Source organism: Homo sapiens, chromosome 10 (assembly GCF_000001405.40).
Source record: "Homo sapiens chromosome 10, GRCh38.p14 Primary Assembly".
NCBI classification, from domain to species: Eukaryota; Metazoa; Chordata; class Mammalia; order Primates; family Hominidae; genus Homo; species Homo sapiens.
In genome coordinates, this window is record NC_000010.11 from 99,954,286 (window position 1) to 99,974,026 (window position 19,741).

At 43.9% G+C, this 19,741-nt stretch overlaps 1 protein-coding gene and 1 long non-coding RNA gene across 6 annotated transcripts in view, besides 2 other annotated features; one reads left to right on the plus strand and one right to left on the minus strand.

Annotated features, from left to right (window-relative positions):
• DNMBP-AS1 (DNMBP antisense RNA 1) overlaps positions 1–4,713 on the plus strand; it is a 31,794-nt gene extending 27,081 nt beyond the window's left edge. Inside the window, exons 3-5 of the long non-coding RNA NR_024130.3 lie at positions 1,389–1,547; positions 2,197–2,306; positions 2,504–4,713. This is a non-coding gene — a long non-coding RNA (DNMBP antisense RNA 1). The remainder of the gene's footprint in view (positions 1–1,388; positions 1,548–2,196; positions 2,307–2,503) is intronic.
• The window catches only part of DNMBP (dynamin binding protein), a 134,377-nt gene that overhangs the window by 78,715 nt on the left and 35,921 nt on the right, over positions 1–19,741 (minus strand). For all 5 annotated transcript variants that reach the window (NR_199816.1, XM_047424910.1, NM_001441288.1 and 2 more), the window contains 3 exons: positions 17,695–17,849; positions 14,830–14,952; positions 929–2,920 (listed from right to left, as the gene is read on the minus strand). Coding sequence is in view for 4 of the 5 variants with exons in the window: in XM_047424910.1 (XP_047280866.1) it covers positions 929–2,920; positions 14,830–14,952; positions 17,695–17,839 (2,260 nt within the window). In the remaining variant the exon portion in view is untranslated. The remainder of the gene's footprint in view (positions 1–928; positions 2,921–14,829; positions 14,953–17,694; positions 17,850–19,741) is intronic.
• Positions 2,031–2,678: an enhancer, noted in NCBI's record as "H3K27ac-H3K4me1 hESC enhancer chr10:101716073-101716720 (GRCh37/hg19 assembly coordinates)". NCBI's record gives its function as "activates a minimal SCP1, AML or CMV promoter by ChIP-STARR-seq in naive H9 embryonic stem cells {active_cell/tissue: H9 hESC(naive)}" and the evidence as "EXISTENCE:reporter gene assay evidence [ECO:0000049][PMID:30033119]".
• Positions 2,679–3,325: an enhancer, noted in NCBI's record as "H3K27ac-H3K4me1 hESC enhancer chr10:101716721-101717367 (GRCh37/hg19 assembly coordinates)". NCBI's record gives its function as "activates a minimal SCP1, AML or CMV promoter by ChIP-STARR-seq in naive H9 embryonic stem cells {active_cell/tissue: H9 hESC(naive)}" and the evidence as "EXISTENCE:reporter gene assay evidence [ECO:0000049][PMID:30033119]".

The window sequence follows — 19,741 nt, forward strand, 5'->3', positions numbered from 1 at the left end:
CCGCAGCCTTCCGAAGTGCTGGGATCACAGGTGTGAGCCACCGCACCCGGCAAGGTTTGAGATTCTTTATCTGAGCAGCAAATGAAGTCAGGAGGCTACAGCAGTCATAGGCTCAAAACAGAGTCAGAGGCTCAAGACAGCCTATCTAGGGTGATGAAATAAGAAATTAGGTAGTGAGGCTGGGTGCGGTGGCTCATGCCTGTAATCCCAGCACTTTGGGAGGTCAAGGTGGGCGGATCACCTGAGGTCAGGAGTTCGAGACCAGCCTGACCAACATGGAGAATTCCCATCTCTACTAAAAATACAAAATTAGCCAGGCATGGTGGCGCTTGCCTGTAATCCCAGCTACTCAGGAGGCTGAGGCAGGAGAATCGCTTGAACCTGGGAGGCAGAGGTTGTGGTAAGCCAAGGTCGCGCCATTGCACTCCAGCCTGGGCAACAAGAGCGAAACTCTGTCTCAAAAAAAAAAAAAAAAAAAAAAGAGGCCGGGCGTGGTGGCTCATGCCTGTAATCCCAACACTTTGGGAGGCCGAGGCAGGTGGATCACCCAAGGCCAGGAGTTCAAGACCAGCCTGGCAACATGGCAAAACACTGTCTCTACTAAAAATACAAAAATTAGCCAGGTGTGGTGATGGCGCATGTCTGCAATCCCAGCCATTTGGGAGGCTGAGGCAGGAGAATCACTTGAGCCCAGGAGGTGGAGGCTGCAGTGAGCCAAGTTCATGCCACTGCACTCCAGCCTGGGCAACAGAGCGAGACTGTCTCAAAAAAAAGGAAAAAAAAAAAAAGAAAAGAAATTAGGTAATGAAAATGTAAATCATTTTTTGTCCATCGAGGATGGTAACATATCCCTAAAAAGCCTGGGTAGGCTGTTTCTGGGACTTGTGAGTGTCAAGAAACAATTACATATTATTTCCTCGTCACTTACCTCTTAGTTGCTGGAGTTCCATATTCAAACTTTCAATGTTACTTTCACAGAACTTGAGATCCTCGAGGGTCTCTGCTCTTGATGATTCATCCTGCTTCTCCTCCAGCATGAGGTTTAGCTCTTCTTGAGCTCTACTGTACATATCCAAGTCCCGCTCCATTTCCTCAATCCTCACCAGCACTAAGGGGCATGGGGAGGTCTGGTCCAGACTCCTTCCCATATGACCAGGGCCCTCCTTTTCTAAGGTCTCACAGGTAGGACGGTGTCGAGATAGGAGCTTGGGGGATACCGCATTCGTTCTCTGCTGTGCTGAGGGAGGCAGGGGAGCTGGGCGAGAGGGTCGCACCACCAAGGGTGGTGCAGGTTTTAGGTTCTGGTCAACCAGCAAATGGGGAGAAGTGGATACCGGAGTACAGGGACGAGGTGGCGGTGGCCTTAGGGCCTTTCTCCTTTCCGGCAGCTCCTGCTCGGTGATTAACTTTGAGGAACCTCGGACAATATCCTTCTCAGAGTTAAAGTCCATGATTGAAAAGTGGCGTAAAATTTTATCTGGCTCTGTGCCGGGCCCTGCCAAGCTCTTCTCAAACTCGATCAGCTGTTGTGTCAGCTTCGAGTCCAGGTCAGTGCTGCCGTCTCCCTGTGAATGTGTTGCTGCTTCCATAACAAGCCCTTGGGCTTGCGGACCAGGCTTCATCTCCAATCTCTCTGAGATGGAGTAAACACTGGACGTGTGGTGCTTTTTAGTATAACTTGCTAGGTTGTGGAGCTGAGGACTTGATTGTCTGGGTTTGACTACCCTTGAAGCTGAAACAGAAGAGCCCCTGTAAAGAGGGAGCACTGGCTTCTGAAGAGTTTTTAGCTGGGAATACATTCTTTTGGGAGGTAGGCTGGCATAGTCTCTAGTCCTTGCTTCTAGGGGAAGAAGGTCGGGGTACTGTTCTGAGTGCGGGTGGCTCCCTCCCACTGTAGAATAATACTGGCTTTTCTGCAAGTTGGGATGAAAAGGGACCTGAGGTTGGGAGGAAATACCATTGACTACTTCTGTAGGGTCAGATGTGGGAGAGTCTGTGGCAAGAGGCATTTCCCACTCCACGCCTGGGCTTCTCGGGGGCCCTCCTGCGGTGTCCTCGTCCTGATAAGAGTTTCTGTCTGTGTCATACTCTGAAGTCAGATGACCGAGGGGAGAAGTGGGTGCTTCAGAAATAATGCAGTCAGGCTCCTCGGCCTCATGGTCACTGGTTTCATGTCTTTGTTCCTCTACTCCTAAGGTGTTCTCCAAACAATCCAAAGAAGTTTCCGGGATCCTGGCAAGGCTGCCTTCCTGGGGCAGAGCCATGGTTTCCTCCACCCGTGTGTCAGGACATAATTTCACAAACCGGTAAGGAAAGATGCCTGTCCTGCCCTTCAGGGATCCTTCCAGCCAGCCATCTTCCAAGGTCGCCAGAATTCGGATTTTATCCCCGACCTCGAAATCCAGCTCATTTGGCTCCAGGGCTTGGAATCTGTACAGGGCGACCCCATAGGTCCCTGGCTCCTCCTCATCCTCATCCGGCCCTATCTCTTCTTCTCCTACAGGGGTATCTACTTCACCATTAACAATGCAGTCATCTTGATTTCCAGAACTTACTGACTCATCCACAGTCCTCAGGGGCCCCAACAGCTCTACAAAACCTTCTGGAAAAATGCCTCTTCGGCCCTCTAACTCCCCTTCAAACCAGCCTGGTTCAGGAACTCCAATAATGGTGATCACATCCCCTTCCCTGAAGTCCAGCTCTTCATCCAGCTGAGCAGAAAGCCCCATTAGGGCCCGGGCTTGTCCCATGGAATATTCCGGAATCTGAAACAGGGCGCTCTGGGAGTGCCACTGCCGGCTCTGTGAGGAGAGGCAGAGCTCGCGGACACATGAAGATGGGAAGAAGCCCCGTGCGCCCCAGCAGCTTCGGCCCTGCAGCCAGCCTGCAGTGGGAATGCCATCGAGAATCACCAGGTCACCTAAAGAAAAGAGGAGCAGAGATGGTGACCTCAGTCATCACCCAGCAGAACATTATCACGACTAATAGTGCAACCTCTCATTTTAAACAGCTACCAAATTCAAGGAAATACACCTAGAGCTTTAGGAGCATGAACAATTTTGACAATTTATTGAATTGGAGCAGTTCTATAAACCTGTAGTTTTCAGAGTGTTCCATGGAACCCTACAGGTGGGTCTCCAAGATCCTAGCAGAGAATCTGTGAGGTCAAAACCATTCTCATAATAACACTAAGACTTTATCTACATATTTTACTCTGCTGACTTTTGTAATCTCTGTGAAAAAGCAATGGTGATTAAAACTGCTGGCCAGCTAGGTGCTGTGGCTTACACCAGAAATCCGAGCACTTTGGGAGGCCAAGGCAGGAGGATCGCTTGAGACCAGGAGTTCAAAACCAGCCTGGGCAACATGTCAAGACCTTGTCTCTACAATAAATTTAAAAATTAGCTGTGCACTGTGGCTCATGCCTGTAGTCCCAGCTATTCAGGAGGCTGAGGTGGGAGGATAGCTTGAACCCAGGAGGTCAAGGCTGCAGTAAGCTGTGATTTCACCACTACGCTCCAGTCTGGGTGACAGAGCAACACTTGTCTCAAAAATAAAAATAAAATGGCTGGGCGCGATGGCTCATGCCTGTGATCCCAGCACTTTGGGAGGCCAAGGCAGGCGGATCACTTGAGGTCAGGAGTTCGAGAGCAGCCTGGTCAACATGGTGAAACACCATCTCTACTAAAAATACAAAAATTAGCTGAGCATGGTGGCACGTGCCTGTAGTCCCAGCTATTCAGGAGGCTGAGGCAGAAATTAAACTCAGGAGGCAGAGGTCGCAGTGAGCCGAGATCGCACCACTGCACTCCAGCTTGGGCAACAGAGCAAGACTCCATCTCAAAAAAATAATAAATTAATTAAAAACTGCTGGCAATTCATAAGCAAAGGCAGTAGCCACAAATTACATGAATAGTCACTGTATGGTCATCGTATTCTTCACAACCATGTACTCACAGTTTTTAAAAAAGCCATTTTCAGTTAAGAAGCAATACAAATTATGCACTGTGCTAAATCTCAACCCTTAAGAACAATTCTTTTGTAATATTCTGTGTGACAATATAGGAATTACACATAAAGCACTTTTACTGCTGAGGAGAAGCACGAGTAACTGAGTTATATGCCTGAACCGTCTGTTTATTTTCACATAACACCATTTTATGTGCAAGAATGAATAACAGACAACTATGTTTATTCAGACTTAGATATCTGGCAGATGTTTCCTCCAAAATGAAAGTGAGTCTGAAACATCAAGGAGAACAAATGACAGTATTTGTTGCCAATGATAAAATTCCAACTTCCAAGAGAAAATGAGAATTTTGGAAAACTTGTATCTACTACCATGGGCTTGGCAGCTTTCCCATACTTAAAGATTCTTCTGATGAGATAGTAACAAATATGATTTTTTCACATTGTATGTTGAAATGGTCAACATTTGGAATAACTGAGTAGCTAATTGAATCAATATTTCCTAAATGACAAATGCATGCTGGTATAAAATCATTCATGGCTAAAAGATTCACACTCCAAAAGCAAGATAGATTAATGAATTTTAGTGTAATATTATGAAAGTTCACCGACGTAGTTTCAGATCCCACACTGCAATTAACTCGTAAGAAATTACCAATCGTTGAATTTTGGTGCAGTGTCAACGATGAATATTTGCAATTATTTGAAAAGACTATTAAAATACCTTTTCCTGTCTCCCATTGCATATTTGTGTAAGGCTGGATTTTCTTCACATAATTCCATGAAAACAACACATTGCAACAGATTGAATACAGATGCAAATAGAATCTGGTTTTCTTTTAGTAAGTTGAACATTAAAAATATTTACGAACATGTAAAGCAATGTCATTCCTCATTAATTTTTTTTTGTTTGGAAAGCTATACTTATTTTTCATAAAAATATGTTATTTACGTAAATATGTAATGGGTTTTTAATAGACTGATAAACAAGTTTTAAAAATTCCCAGTTGTAATAGCTAATATGATAAATATCAACAGACACAGCCCACATAAACAAAAGCTCTTTGGGAAAAATACAATAATTAGCCAGGTGTGGTGGTGCCCACCTGTGGTCACAGATACTTGGAAGGCTGAGGCGGGAGAGTCACTTGAACCTGGGAAGTCAAGGCTGCAGTGAGCCATGGCTGTGCTACTTGCACTCCAGCCTGGGCGACAGAGAAAGACACTGTCTCAAAAACAAAAACAAAACAAAAAAACCACCCAAAAAAACAAAAAAGCTCTTTGGGGTCTCAATAACTTTTAAGAGTATACAGGGAGGCCAGGTGCAGTGGCTCACACCTGTAATTCCAGCACTTTGGGAGGCTGAGGTAGAAGGATTGCTGGAGCAGAAGAGTTCAAGATCAGCCTGGGCAACATAGTGAGACCGCGTCTCTATTTAAAATTTAAAAAAAAATTAGCCGGTGTGGTGGTGAGCGCTATAGTCCCAGCTACTTGGGAACCTGAGGCAGGAGGATCGCTTCAGCCCAGGAATTTGAGCCTGCAGTGAGCTATGATGGCACCACTGCACTCCGGCCCGGGCAACAGAGTGAGACCGTGTCTCAAAAAAAAAAAACAAAAAAAAAACAAATCTTTAGTAAAGGGTTCTTTGTTGGAGATGAAGGGTATGGACAATGAATGTTCAATCATGTTCTCCAGAGGCCTTCTTGAACTGTCCCTATCCTGAAAATATATTATAATGAGATCTTAAAAGAAGGTACCAATAATCACCACTTTTGTTTTTGAAAATAACCAATTTTCAGGTTATCCTCACAAAACGTAAGCTGAACAGTTAGCATCTGTCTTATTGTAGAAGAAGTTGAGGTAAAGAAAGGATAAGAGCACAGTATATGTTTCTGGAAAAATGAAATTAAAATTCAGTTCTATATGATTTATGATTTAATTTTGAAAAAATTACTCTAATTTTATCAACTGTTTTATAACAAACTCTTGATTATCTGATTATAAGCTATTCACTTGTAGATTATCTATTTTAATCTTACAGTTAAGATTAAAGTTAATCTTACCTATACTTTTATAGTTAAAATTTCTTTCTCACTCAGTACCCAAGTCAGAGGTGCTCAAGGAATGCACCTGGCCTAGGTAAAATAAGATCTGGGTAGCAAAGCACCTGGCAAAATCCTATGAGTCATTTTATAGTCAAGCACATTGGAAAACTGGGTTATCTTTTATGCTCTTGATTTTTACATGCTCTTGATTTAAAAAAAAATTAGGCCAGGTGCGGTGGCTCACGCCTGTAATCCCAGCACTTCGGGAGGCCGAGGTGCGCAGGATCACCTCAGGTCAGGAGTTCAAGACTAGCCTGGCCAACATGGTGAAACCCTGTGTCTACTAAAAATACAAAATTAGCCAGGTGGGGGGGTGCACGCCTATAACCCCAGCTACTCGAGAGGCTGAGGCAGAAAAATGGCTTGAACCTGGGAGGCAGAGGTTGCAGTGAGCTGAGGCTGCACCATTGCACTCCAGCCTGTGTGACGAGAGCAAAACTCCATCTCAACAACAACAAAAAATTTAAGTCTACTCAGGCAAGGTGGCTATTGCCTGTAGTCTCAGCTACTCGTGAGGCTGAGGTGGAAGACTGCTTGAGCCCAACAGTTCAAGGCTACAGTGAACTATGATCGGACCACTGCACTCCAGCCTGGGTGACAAAGAGAGGCCCTGTCTCTAAAAAATAAAATAAAATAAATAAATAAGAAAAAAAAAAACTAAGTCTGTCTTATATTCCCAAGTAGGTTACAGTTCCTTAATGGTAGGTACCACCTTCTCTTTGGTATCTCAAGAGTCTGGTATGATGCCTTTTGCATGGCAAGCACTTGATGTTCATTTGCTAATGATGATTATTCTTCAACTCCAACTCCCAAATAAATTCATTACATTCTGCTTTCCAAACTGACTTCTGCTGCTCATTTCCTTTTTTCTTCTAATTCCTTCTTTCAAAATATTTCTTCCCTTTTTCTTTTTTTTTTTTTTTTTTTTTTTGTGGAGACAGGGTCTCACCCTATCACCAAGGCTGAGTGCAGTGGTGCAATCATGGCTTACTGCAGCCTTGACCACCCGGGCTCAACTGATTGTCCCACCTCAGCCTCCTAAGTAGCTGAGACTACAGGCATGCGCCACCATACCTAATTTTTATTTTGACAGGGTCTCACTATGTTGCCCAGGCTGGTCTCGAACTCCTGGACTCAAGTGATCCACCCGCCTGAGTCTCCCACAGTGCTGGGATTTCAGGTATGAGCCACTGTGCCCGGCCTCTTCCTTCTACTAATTGCTCTATGCTACGACCCTGGTCCAATTCCCACCATCTCACCCTTTGAAATCTTGTCCCCACGCATTATTTCTTCAAGTCTACCAATTGATTCATGACAAATCAAGATTACAAATGCACCAGTTTTACCATCTCCCTCCCCGGGCCAAACTTTTACCATGAAGCACAAGGAGCCTACTGCTAATGGCTTCTTCCTCAGTAATCCTATTCTTATTACCCAAAATATATAAAAAATAAATTTGCTCTGGACACTCTCTGTAGAGGTTTACTGAGCTACCAAAAGACTTATGCTTTCACCCCAAAGCAAACTTACATTCATGATTATCCAGTCACAACTTTCCCCTTCTCCAACTATCCAATATTATCTCACCTATGATATGAGACCCTATTCCACACAAGGAGGTTTTTATTGTTATGAAGCCGCATCATTATTAACCCCAAAGCCTTACTCCAGTTACACTGTCTCTCCATCTGAAACCTAGGCTTGCTTCTCTAAAAAACCTTAGAAGCTCACATTCATCTTGGCTGTCTATAGCCTAGAAAAGAAATTATTGTCTATATCATGAATTCTGACACTTGTATTTTTATATACTATACAGCACCTAACATAAGATTTTACACTTAGAGAGAGTTGCCCAAAATATTTTCACAAATTTGATATTATTTGGTTTCAGTGTTCCCCAAAAATAGGGTCTTGGTCCTGTATTTCTACATTCCTTTAACTTATGATTCCCTATCCCTTGGTCAGAAGTTGGGGTCCTAAAAAATCACAAGGCTGGGCGCAGTGGCTCACGCCTGTAATCCCAGCACTTTGGGACGCCGAGGCAGGGGGATCACGAGGTCAGGAGATTGAGACCATCCTGGCTAACACGGTGAAACCCTGTCTCTACTAAAATTACAAAACGTTAGCCGGGTGTGGTGGCGGGCGCCTGTAGTCCCAGCTACCAGGGAGGCTGAGGCAGGAGAACGGTGTGAACCTGGGAGGCGGAGCTTGCAGTGAGCCGAGATTGTGCCACTGCACTCCAGCCTGGGCGATAGAGCGAGACTCCGTCTCAAAAAAAAAAACAAACAAAAAACCACAAGTAATTTTTCCCCCTCTGGCCCTAAGGCCATCCATCGAGAACACAGAGGGAATGCACTGGTGACTGACTGCTGTTCAGACACAATGGGCCTCTTGGTGAAGGGGAAGAATAAAAGCGTGCCATAACTCCCACTCTGCTGGCTTTGAAATCAACTGGCTTTCTTAAAGCTGTAGAATTATGCTATTTTCCTTGTTTTGTCAGATCCCCCTGAACCCATATAATAAGGCTTGTTTTCCTATCTATTTTCAACAGGATAACTGTTTTGATAAGCTTTATTACCTGATGGACTGCTATTTTATTGGTTATTTCTACACAGTAAAGGTGAATCTTGAAAAACATACACAATTTAGAACCTGGAAAGTACTTTAGAGATTATTTAGTTCAATACCCTTTTTATTTTAAAATTCATTTGATTATTATTATTTTTTGAGACAGGGTCTCAGTCTGTTACCCAGGCTGGAGGGCAGTGGCTCAATCACTGCTCATTGTAGCCTTGACCTCCCAGGCTCAAGCAATCCTCCTGCCTCAGCCTCCTGAGTAGCTGGGACTACAGGTGTGTGCCACTGTGCCCAGCTAATTTTTTTTTTTGTTATTGTGGAGATGGGGTCTCATTTGTTGCCCAAGCTGGCCTCAAACTCCTGGGCTCAAGTGATCCTCCCACCTAGGCCTCCTAAACTGCTGAGATTAAAGGTGTGGGTCACCATATTCTGCCTCAATGCCCCTGTTTTATAGCCCTGTTACTGAACCGTAAGTCTCTGTTTTTCATCAGAAAGAGTCATACAAGCTATTCCCCTGGGGTCCTAGGTGATTCCTTAGGAACGGATCACTTTTTCCATTAGATTGGTATCTCCAGAATAACTAGTGGTCATTCCCAGACTTCTGAAATGCCAATATGAGGAACTCCTGCACGAGCAAGACCAGATTTTGAGAACAGAAAAATAGGAAGTGTGGTGACCCTTAGGGTCAGCCTGAGCCTTTGACTCATGCACAATTAATCCCAGCCACACTGCTTGTTTCCTCTGGTTGGATTTTTTATTTGAACAGGAAATGCATTAGGAATAAAATGGTAAAAAGGAGTGCAGGTCTTCTTAGAATCGGATATGAGCAGTCTGACTGCAGTCCTGGGTTCCTCACGGACTCCTTTTGGGCTGTCTCTAAATGCCAGGGGAACTATGTGCTTTATGCAGCCTGACCACGTAGAGTATTTTATTCAGGTTTCCATACGAGCCATGTCAGAACTTCTTTCCTGAGAGTTCACATTCATGGCATCACAAATTTATAACACATGTGCTTTGACTGATGAATACCACTGGTCAATTTATTTTTTATTGGCCTGTTGTTTGAGGGGGCAGGTTATAGGCAAGGGATGAGGATTCTGTCTTACGTGAGGCAATTATTAGTGATATTTTATCACTTGTCATAATATGCACTAACTTGTTTCTCTCCTCTCTGTCTTTTCCTTGTCCTATTCTCTCTCTTTTTTTTTTTTTTTTTTTTTTTTGGAGACAGAGACTTGCTCTGTCGCCCAGGCTGCAGTGCAGTGGTGCGATCTCGGCTCGCTGCAACCTCTGCTTTCCGGGTTCGAGCAATTTCTCCTGCCTCAGCCTCCCGAGGAGCTGGGATTACAGGTGCCTGCCACCATGCTGGTAGTGATGGGGTTTCACCATCTTGGCCAGGTTGATCTCAAACTCCTGACCTCGTGATCCACCCGCCTCAGCCTCCCAAAGTGCTGGGATTACAGGCGTGAGCCACTGCGCCCAGCCTCCTTGCACTAATCTCTTATTTTGGCTTTGTTCTTTACTCCCCTCCACCCCCCACCTTTCTTTTCTCCTGTTTTTGTTTTTTTTTTAGGATAGTCAGGGGCACTGGCCACCTGTTTTGATTCTTCTTCTAAGAGACAGACTTGTTTCTCAGTTTAAATATAACTCGAGGCCAGGCGTGGTGGCTCATGCCTGTAATCCCAGCACTTTGGCAGGTCGAGGCAGGCGGATTGCTTGAAGTCAGGAGTTCGAGACCAGCTTGGCCAAAATGGTGAAACCCTGTCTCTACTAAAAATACAAAAATTAGTTGGGTGTGGTGGCACACACCTGTAATCCCAGCTATTCGGGAGGCTAAGGCATGAATATCACTTGAACCAACGAGGCGGAAGTGGCAGTGAGCAGAAATTGCGCCACTGCACTCCCGCCTGGGCGACAGTGTGAGACTCCAGCCCAAGGAAAAAAAAAAAATATATATATATATATATATTTTAACTCAAAACAGTAGGAATAGTCCAAAACAATTACATAGCTTCAGGAAAAGGAAGAAGGGTGACATCTGCTGGAACAAAGATCAGTGGTTCTGATTTCACATAGAATCTCTCTGAGAACAGACACACAAAACTTCACAGACTTATCCCAGAAACAAGATACCCAAAGCACATCAATGAAGCCCAGGCGCCCAGGTTAAGACTAATAAGAATAGCTAGCATTTACTGAGCGCTTACCTACTACCACATGCTTTCCATGTACAACCTCATCTAATCCTCACAATCACCCTGAGGTAGGTATTATATTATTATCCTCATTTTGTAGATAAGAAAACTGAGGCTGAGAGACTTAAGTAACTAGTCCAAGGTCACAGCTATTAAGTGGTGGACTTGGATTTAAACTTAGGCCTGTCAGAATTCTTATCCCCTAAGCTATACTGCCTGCTCTAAATACATATAGACATCTATAAATTACACATATATTTTTTCTCTTATTAATCCTAATGATACTTCTTAAAGGTAAGTAAGTAACAGTGAACTAAAAAGGCACGTGGTAAAACACAACAGATCTCAAACATTATCTCACATACTTTTTTTTTTTTTTTTTTGAGATGGAGTTTCGCTCTTGTTGCCCAGGCTGGACTGCAGTGGCGCAATCTTGGCTCTCTGCAACCTCCACCTCCCGGGTTCAAGCAATTCTCCTGCCTCAGCCTCCCAAGTAGCTGCAATTACAGGTATGCACCATCATGCCCAGCTAATTTTGTATTTTTAGTAAAGATGGGGTTTCACCATGTTGGCCAGGCTGGTCTCGAACTCCTTACCTCAGGTGATCCACCCGCCTAGGCCTCCCAAAGTGCTGGGATTACAGGCTTGAGCTACCATGCCTGGCCCCACATACTCTTAAGGTTTCCAAATCCCCTCCTGACCTATTCCATCATCAACATTTCATTTACAGACACACTGATCTAATGGAAAAAGTGATTTTCAGTCTAGGAAGTTGAAGCGCCATCCCAAGCACTAGACTTAAAAAACAGGAAACCTAGATGCAAGTCTGATAAACTTGCATATCTGGCATAAAACAATACTTTCATTTTTTAGTGATTTTGTTTCCCACCAGTAAATACCTGTTGATGTGACTTGTCACGTATACAAAAAGAGAAATTAAAATCATTTGTGCACAAGCTAAGTTTCCCAGAAAAAGGCAAATTGCATAGGTATAACTAACTTCTCCATCCTCCAAGCCTTGTGTTTCCAAATTAAAAGACAGAGCTAAAAAAAAAACGTGAAAGGCATAGAAGGAAAGCTGACTGGTCAGTGTGTTTACTGGCAGTAGATTATCACAGAGAGGAGAACAAGATAAAACCATGGATAATTAGTACATCTCATTCTAGTCTCTCTTTCCCAGTGTATCCCCCTGCCCACATCCTCTTCCTTTGGATTCCACTTACATCTTTAAGCTTATTAGGCTTAACTGGTTAAAAGGTAGTCAAGATAAAATCTAGATTCCAGGTCCTGGCCTGACCTTGAGTCAGTCTTCAGACAGGTGACTCACGATGCCAGATTCTTTCTGAGAATCTCTCGGATGGCATGCTTCCTAAGAAAAGTTCATGCTACCCACATCCTCTGAACAGCTCAGCGGAAGCCACTGTACTCTTGTCCTTTCTCCATTCCATCAGATATGGACTACAGACTCCACTGGGAGAGCTATGAGTAAGGACAGATAAGGTCCCTGCTATAATCTCTTAATCTATTTCTGTCTACCTTCCCAACACTGATTAACAAGAAAGCATAGAGCTGAAGTAGAGACTGAGTATAAAGTGAAGTGTAAGAAACTCTCAAAACAACAGAGCGTGGTGGCGTTTTCTCTCGTTAATACGTTTTGTTTTTTTTTTGAAACAAGGTCTTGTTCTGTTGCCCAAGCTGGAGTGTAGTGGCGTAAACACAGCTCACTGCAGCCTCAACCTCCTGGGCTCAGGCTCCTGCCTCAGTTTCCTGAGTAGCTGGGACCACAGGCATATACCACTGGTATGCACCACCATGCCTGGCTAATTTAATTTTTTTTTTTTTTTTTGTAGAGACAGCGTCCTGCCATGTTGCCCAGGCTGATCTCAAACTCTTGGGCTCAAGGGATACTCTTGCCTTTGGCCTCCCAAAATGCTAGGATTACAGGCATGAGCCACTATACCCAGCCTCTTATCAATCCTAATGATACTTCTTAAAGTTAAGTAAGGTCTGTAATCCCAGCTACTCGGGAGACTGAGGTGGTAGCATCACTTGAGGCTAGGAGTTTCAGACCAGCCTGGGCAACAACGTGAGACCCTGTGTCTTAAAAAATAAAATAAAATTTGTATAATAAAAAATAAATAATCGCAGCACTTTGGGAGGCCAAGGTGGGCAGATCACAAGATCAGGAGTTCAAGACCAGCCTGACCAAGATGGTGAAACCCCATCTCTACTAAAAATACAAAAATTAGCTGGGTGTGGTGGCAGGTGCCTGTAGTCCCAGCTACTCAGGAGGCTGAGGAAGGAGAATCGCTTGAACCTGGGAGGCGGAGGTTGCAGTGAGCCGAGATCATGCCACTGCACTCCAGCCTCGACAGAATGAGACTCCGTCTCAAAAAACAAACAAATAAATAAATAAACAAAATAAAACAAAATCTAAAAATAAAGAAATTCTCAAAATAGATTTTGAGGATTAAGGTCAAAATCCATTATTCCATTCTTATCACTAAGGGTTAGAGAAGTTTGATAGGTTTTTCTGGGTGTGTGTGTGTGTGTGTGTGTGTGTGTGTGGGTATGTGTGTACATGATTTAAGAAATGAAGCCTGTCCCTTTTGTGCCATATGCCAAAGAGCAAGTAATGATATTAATAACACACCTAATAAGTTCTACTGTTTTGATGACTGAGTCATCACAAAATTGGATTGATCAGAAGCTTCTGTCTTTTAGACACTACTGGTTTCTCTGTTTATGCAGAATGGACTTAAGGATACTTGTTGAAATGGTTTATAGTTTGTTCATCTAATCAGAGTGCAAGAAGGGAGAAATACTTGGAAAATCACTGAGAGATAGCTATGACTACCTGTTTTAATTTATATTTATATATTTATGTATTATTTATTTGAGACAGGGTCTCGCTCTGTCACCCAGGCTGGAGTGCAGTGATGTGATCATAGCTCACTGACGCTTCCAACTCAAGCGATCCTCTTGCTGCAGCCTCCTGAGTTGTTAGGACTATAGGTGCATACCACCATGCCTGGCTAAGTATGACTATCTGTTTTAAATCACTTCCTTTTAAACTGGCTCTGATAAGACAGTAGTAAAATGCGGATGTTTTGCACCTATCTCTTAATTTCCACATCAAAATTCCTGCTCTACTATTATACATTAATAAATGGTAATATTGTTAGCAAAGCCGTACCCAGTTATTTTTTTCTCCCTCCGCCCACGCCCCGTATCAGTTTTTAAAAGAAAAAAAGAGAAATAAAGCCTGAAGTTGGTCAGGCGCAGTGACTCATGCCTGTAATCCCAGCACTTTGGGAGGCCGAGGCAGGCAGATTGTTTGAGCCTAGGAGTTCGAGACCAGCCTGGGCAATATGGCAAAACCCCATCTCTACCAAAAATACTAAAAATTAGCCCAGCGTGGTAGCACGTGCCTGCGGTCCCAGCTACTCATGAAGCTGAGGTGGGAGGACTGCTTGAGCCTGGGAGGCAGAGGTTGCAGTGAGCTGAGATCGCACCACTGAACTCCAGCCTGGGCAACAGAGTGAGACTACTGTCTCAAAAAAAAAAAAAAAAAGAGAGAGAGAGCATGAGCCTGAAGTGTGGCTATAGCATGGGGGCATTGGAAAGATAACACTGGACTTAGAATATGATCAGTTCATATTCTGAGGCCAAGACTTCCCACCTTCGGCCAACAGTCTTTGAATTTTGCTCTCATTATTTATAAAATACAGTTAATAATCCCCACTTTCCTACCTCCCAGGTCTGTGCTGAGGATCAAATGAGAATATATTTGTGAGAAAATACCTTGGAAATTTTAAAATGGTACTAAACTATAAGGCATCATTACGTCCACGCTATTTGGTATTGCCGAGGACTCTCTAGAGGTTAAGCCACTTCACAAATTCAAAAAGGATCTGGTTGTCGAAACGGGCAGACTCCAAAAATCTAATTTCAAATAGTCTACTATTTGATGAGCAGCTTACCTCGATGGAGGGGAAGATTATCCAACTCTTGGGATGTGAATTCACAAATGCACACAAACAGCCTCTCTCCCTCTTTTAGACTGGGAATGGTCACAATTTCCACAAAACTGCTGGGGAATTGTCCTGAAAATAAAAGCAAACATATTAAATTTTAATACTGAGATTTCTTTTCCCGTCTGTGTACAAGGACAAAAACTTTTCTTCTGAGTCCATGTATAGACCGTAACTTGAAAACTCAGGGAATACTCATAATTGGAGAATCTGTTGGAGAAGAAGTATAGTGCACAAAACTAGATGCATGCAGGACAGACAGAATGCAATTCAATTTGGTACGCATTTACTGGGGGCTGCTATAGGCAAAGCACGCTGCAGAGGAAAACATAAGACAGTTTTGGTTTTCAAAGATCTAAAAACCTAGTTCAGACAAAAAGTCGAATTCAGACATAAATAATAATTCAATCCTGAAATCTGGTATCATAACGTAAGTACACAAATTGTTACGGAAGTTCAGAAAAGGTAGGTAATAGGTCAGGAAGAACATAAAAAACTTTATGAAAACAATAGCATTTGAATCTGACGGTGGACAAGGTTTTAATAGGTGGTGGGAGAAAGACAGGGCCTGCCAGTTGGAAAGTATCAGAAAGTCTGATTGATTCTACCTTCTGTCTCTGGGTATATTTATCTCCAGACCCACCACCTTGGTCCATGCCATCACCATCCCTCACCTGGATTACTGCAGCGACCTTCCAAATGCTTCCCTGCCTTCAGTTTTGTCCCTTTCTATCATTCTTAAGTCTGCAGCAGTGAGTTTTCTAAAATTCAAATCTGATCATGTTCAAAGCACTTTCAGGGTTTCCCATTTTCTTCACTCCTTACCATGGCATACTCTGTCTCCCATGATCCAGCTTTTGCTCATCTCTCCAGCCCACCTTTCTCCCTCAACCACTCACACCTCATGCCCTACTAAACTTCTCTAGGTCCCCTGTGTTCTCACATTCCAGGGACCTTCAACAAGCAATCCTCTCTGCCTACCATCTTTCCTTGCTAACTCCTTCTCATCATTTTTGTCTCAGCTGAGATACCATTTCTACTGGGAAATAATTTATCTCCCAAATGTGGGTTAAGTGTCAACAGAGTGTGCTCGAAGGACTCCAACCCAGACTTACATAAATATGAGTACATGCAAGTTAAGGATTGGATTAACACAGATGCATGTGGTGTGGGAAAAGCTTCCACCCTTCCCTAGGCTTATTAATGAAAGAAATCGATGTGAACATATATCTTACAGAATTGAAGAAAGCTAACCAGGTGCGTGGAATGTGGGTGGTAGGTACCATGTAGGGTAAGGGATAACTTTAATAAATTTGGGCCAGCCATGGATCCAAGAAGGAGTGAACAGGATGAATCATGCTCCTTTGAAGAAAATGAAAGAAAGATCACTTCTCAGCCTTTTGCCTAAGATCAAGTGAAGAATGAAAGAAAGGGTAGAAAATGTTCAAAGAAGACAGCCAGAGGAAACAAGGTGGAGAGCACCTTGTGTTCCACAAATCATAAAGCTGGTTATGAAAAGCAGTAGTGCCGGGTGCGGTGGCTCACACCTGTAATCCCAGCACTTTGGGAGGCCGAGGCAGGCGGATCATGACGTCAGGAGATTGAGACCATCCTGGCTAACATGGTGAAACCCCGTCTCTACTAAAAATACAAAAAATTAGCCAGGCGTGGTGGCATGTGCCTGTAGTCCCAGCTACTCCGGAGGCTGAGGCAGGAGAATGGCATGAACCTGGGAGGTAGAGCTTGCAGTGAGCCGAGATCATGCCACTGCACTCCAGCCTGGGCAACAGAGCAAGACTCCGTCTCAAAAAAAAAAAAAAAAAAAAAAAAAAAGGAAAGCAGTAGTAAACAACAGGGTTATGAAGAAAGGAATAACATGTTTTGAGAAGAGGAATAATAGCACTGAACACAAAGGATAAAGACCTGGGAAGGGAAAGCGGGTGAAAGACAAAGACTTGGATAGAAACCTGGGCTGGGGCAGCTGGTGTCTAGTGGTGCAACCTCTTGAAGGAATCAACACAGAGATGGAATGGTAACAGAAATCTTCCCCTAACTGGTAGAGACCACATATGAATACAGTAGGTAAACACAAAAGGATTCTGAAATTTATTGACTTGGGCTTCCCATTTAGCTAGCTTTCTTTTCTTTCCTTCCTTCCTTCCTTTCTTTCTTTTCTTTCTCTTCCTCCCTCCCTACCTCCCATCCTTTCTTATTTATTTATTGAGATGGTGTCTTGCTATGTTGACCAGGCTGGTCATGAACTCTTGGCCTCAAGCAATCCTCCCATCTCAGCCTCCCAAAGTGCTGGGATTATAAGCATGACCCACCATGCCCAGCCTTTATTTTTATTTTTATTATTTATTTACTTATTTAGAGACAGAGTTTCACTCTTGTCGCCCAGGCTGGAATGCAATGGCACAATCTCAACTCACTGCAATCTTCACCTCCTGGGTTCAAGCAATTCTCCAGCCTTGCCTCCTGAGTAGCTGGGATTACAGGCACGCGCCACCACACCCAGCAAATTTTGTATTTTTAGTAGAGACAGGGTCTCACCATCTCACCATGTTGGCCAGGCTGGTCTTGAACTCCTGACTTCAGGGGATCCACCCACCTCAGCCTCCCAAAGTGCTGGGATTATAGGCATGAGCCACTGTGCCCAGCTAGGAATAATTTTCTTTCTTTCTTTCTTTCTTTCTTTTTTTTTTTTTAAGACAGGGTCTCACTCTGTTGCCCAGGCTGGAGTGCAGTGCCAGCCTTTATTTTTAATATGGAAAGAAGTCAGGGCCTGTGGTCCACTATGAGTCTCTTACTTACCTGTAACATCCTCCTTCTTTCCTAGAAGCCAAAATTCATCCACCACTGCCAGCACCTCAATAATATCTCCCACAAAGAGCGGCAGTTCTTCTGATACGCTAGGGCAGAAGTCAAAAATGGCTCGAACCACTGAGCCAGCCTCCATGTTTTATAACCTGGAAAGATAGATCAAGAGAAATAGAAAACATCAATATTTAAGACACTGCAATATAGATCTATTTCTTGGAATGATAAAGCTTAAGATACAAATATACTTAAAATGAAGCCAAAGCTAAGCAAATAAGTTAGTACTTCCTATTTTATTTTTGAGACAGGGTCTCACTCCCATCGCCCAGGCTGGAGTGCAGTGGAGCAATCATGGCTCACTGTAGCCTCGACTTCCTGGGCTCAGGTGATTCTCCCAGCTCAGTCTCCCAAGAAACTTGGGCTACAGGCATGTGCCACCATGTCCAGCTAATTTTTTGTATTTTTACTAGAGGCAGGGTTTCACCATGTTGCCCAGGCTGGTCTCAAACTCCTGGGCTGAAGCAATCTGCCTACCCTGGCCTCCCAAAGTGCTGGGATTACAGGCATGCTCCACTGTACCTGGCCTCATATTTTAAAATATCAAAGTTATTTCTCATTTCTTTTTCCCTTTTTGGGGGCCGGGGGAAACAGGTCTCGCTTTATCACCCAGGCTGGAGTGCAGTGGTGTGATCATAGCTCACTGCAGCCTCCAGCTCCTGGGCTCAAGTGATCCTCCTACCTCAGCTTTCTGAGTAGCTGGAACTACAGGCGCACACCACTGTGCCTGACTTTTTATTTTTATTTTTTGAGATGAAATCTCGCTGTGTGTTCCACACTGGAGTGCAGTGGCACAATCTTGGCTCACTGCCACCTCTGCCTCCTGGCTCAGCCTCCCAAGTGATTCTCAAGGCTCAGCCTCCCAAGTAGGTAGGACTACAGGCATGCACCACCATGCCCAACTAATTTTTGTATTTTTAGTAGAGACAGGGTTTTGCCACATTGGCCAGGCTCATCTCAAACTCCTGGCCTCAAGTGATCTGCCCACCTCAGCCTCCCAAAGTGCTGGGATTACAGGCGTGAGCCACTGCCTGCGGCATTTATTTATTTATTTATTTATTTATTTATTTGTAGAGATGAGATCTCACTTCGTTACCCAGGCTAGTGTTGAACTCCTGGCTTCAGTGATCCTCCTGCTTTGGCCTCCCAAAGTGTTGGGATTCCAGGCATGAGCCACCGCACCTGGTCTAATTTAAAAATAATAATTTCTTCATATATTTTTCATTTGGACCGCAAAGGAATTCAGGAACAAAACAAAACAAAACAAAACAAAAACCCTAGACCTCTCAGTGATAGAAAAGATTCAAGTGTCAGCAAATGTAGGCTTTTCAGAATGCCTGAAGAGGGCAGTAATGAAATTAACATTTTTAAAACACCAGACAACATGGTAATTTTAAAATACAATACTTTAAAAAGTAGAGATTTTAAATATGGCATTTTATTCCCTATAGATCTTAAAGATTAGGATACTAAGGCTCAGTATAGTTAGAAAACATTATTTGTCCAAGATCACAGTGCTCACAGCAGCAGGGCCAGAACTCAAACTGAGGGCATTCTGGTTCCTACCTACTGAGACTATCTGCAAACAAATGTACCACAACCTGAAGAACAGCAGCAGAACTATGCCTCAAAGGCCTAGATGGAAAACCTGTTGGGGACTGGCGCGGTGGCTCGCACCTGTAATCCCAGCACTTTGCGAGGCCAAGGCGGGCAGATCACCTGAGGTGAGGAGTTTTGAGGCCAGCCTGGGCAACATGGTGAAACCCCGTCTCTACTAAAAACACAAAAATCAGTCAGGCACAGTGGCGGGTGCCTGTAATCCCAGCTACTTGGGAGGCTGAGGCAGGAGAATCACTTGAACCTGGGAGGCCGAGGTTGCAGTGAGCCGAGATCATGCCATTCATTGCATTCCAGCCTGGGTGACGGAGTGAGACTCAGAAAAGGAAAAAGGAAAAGGAAAGGGAAAATCTATTGAATGGCTCAT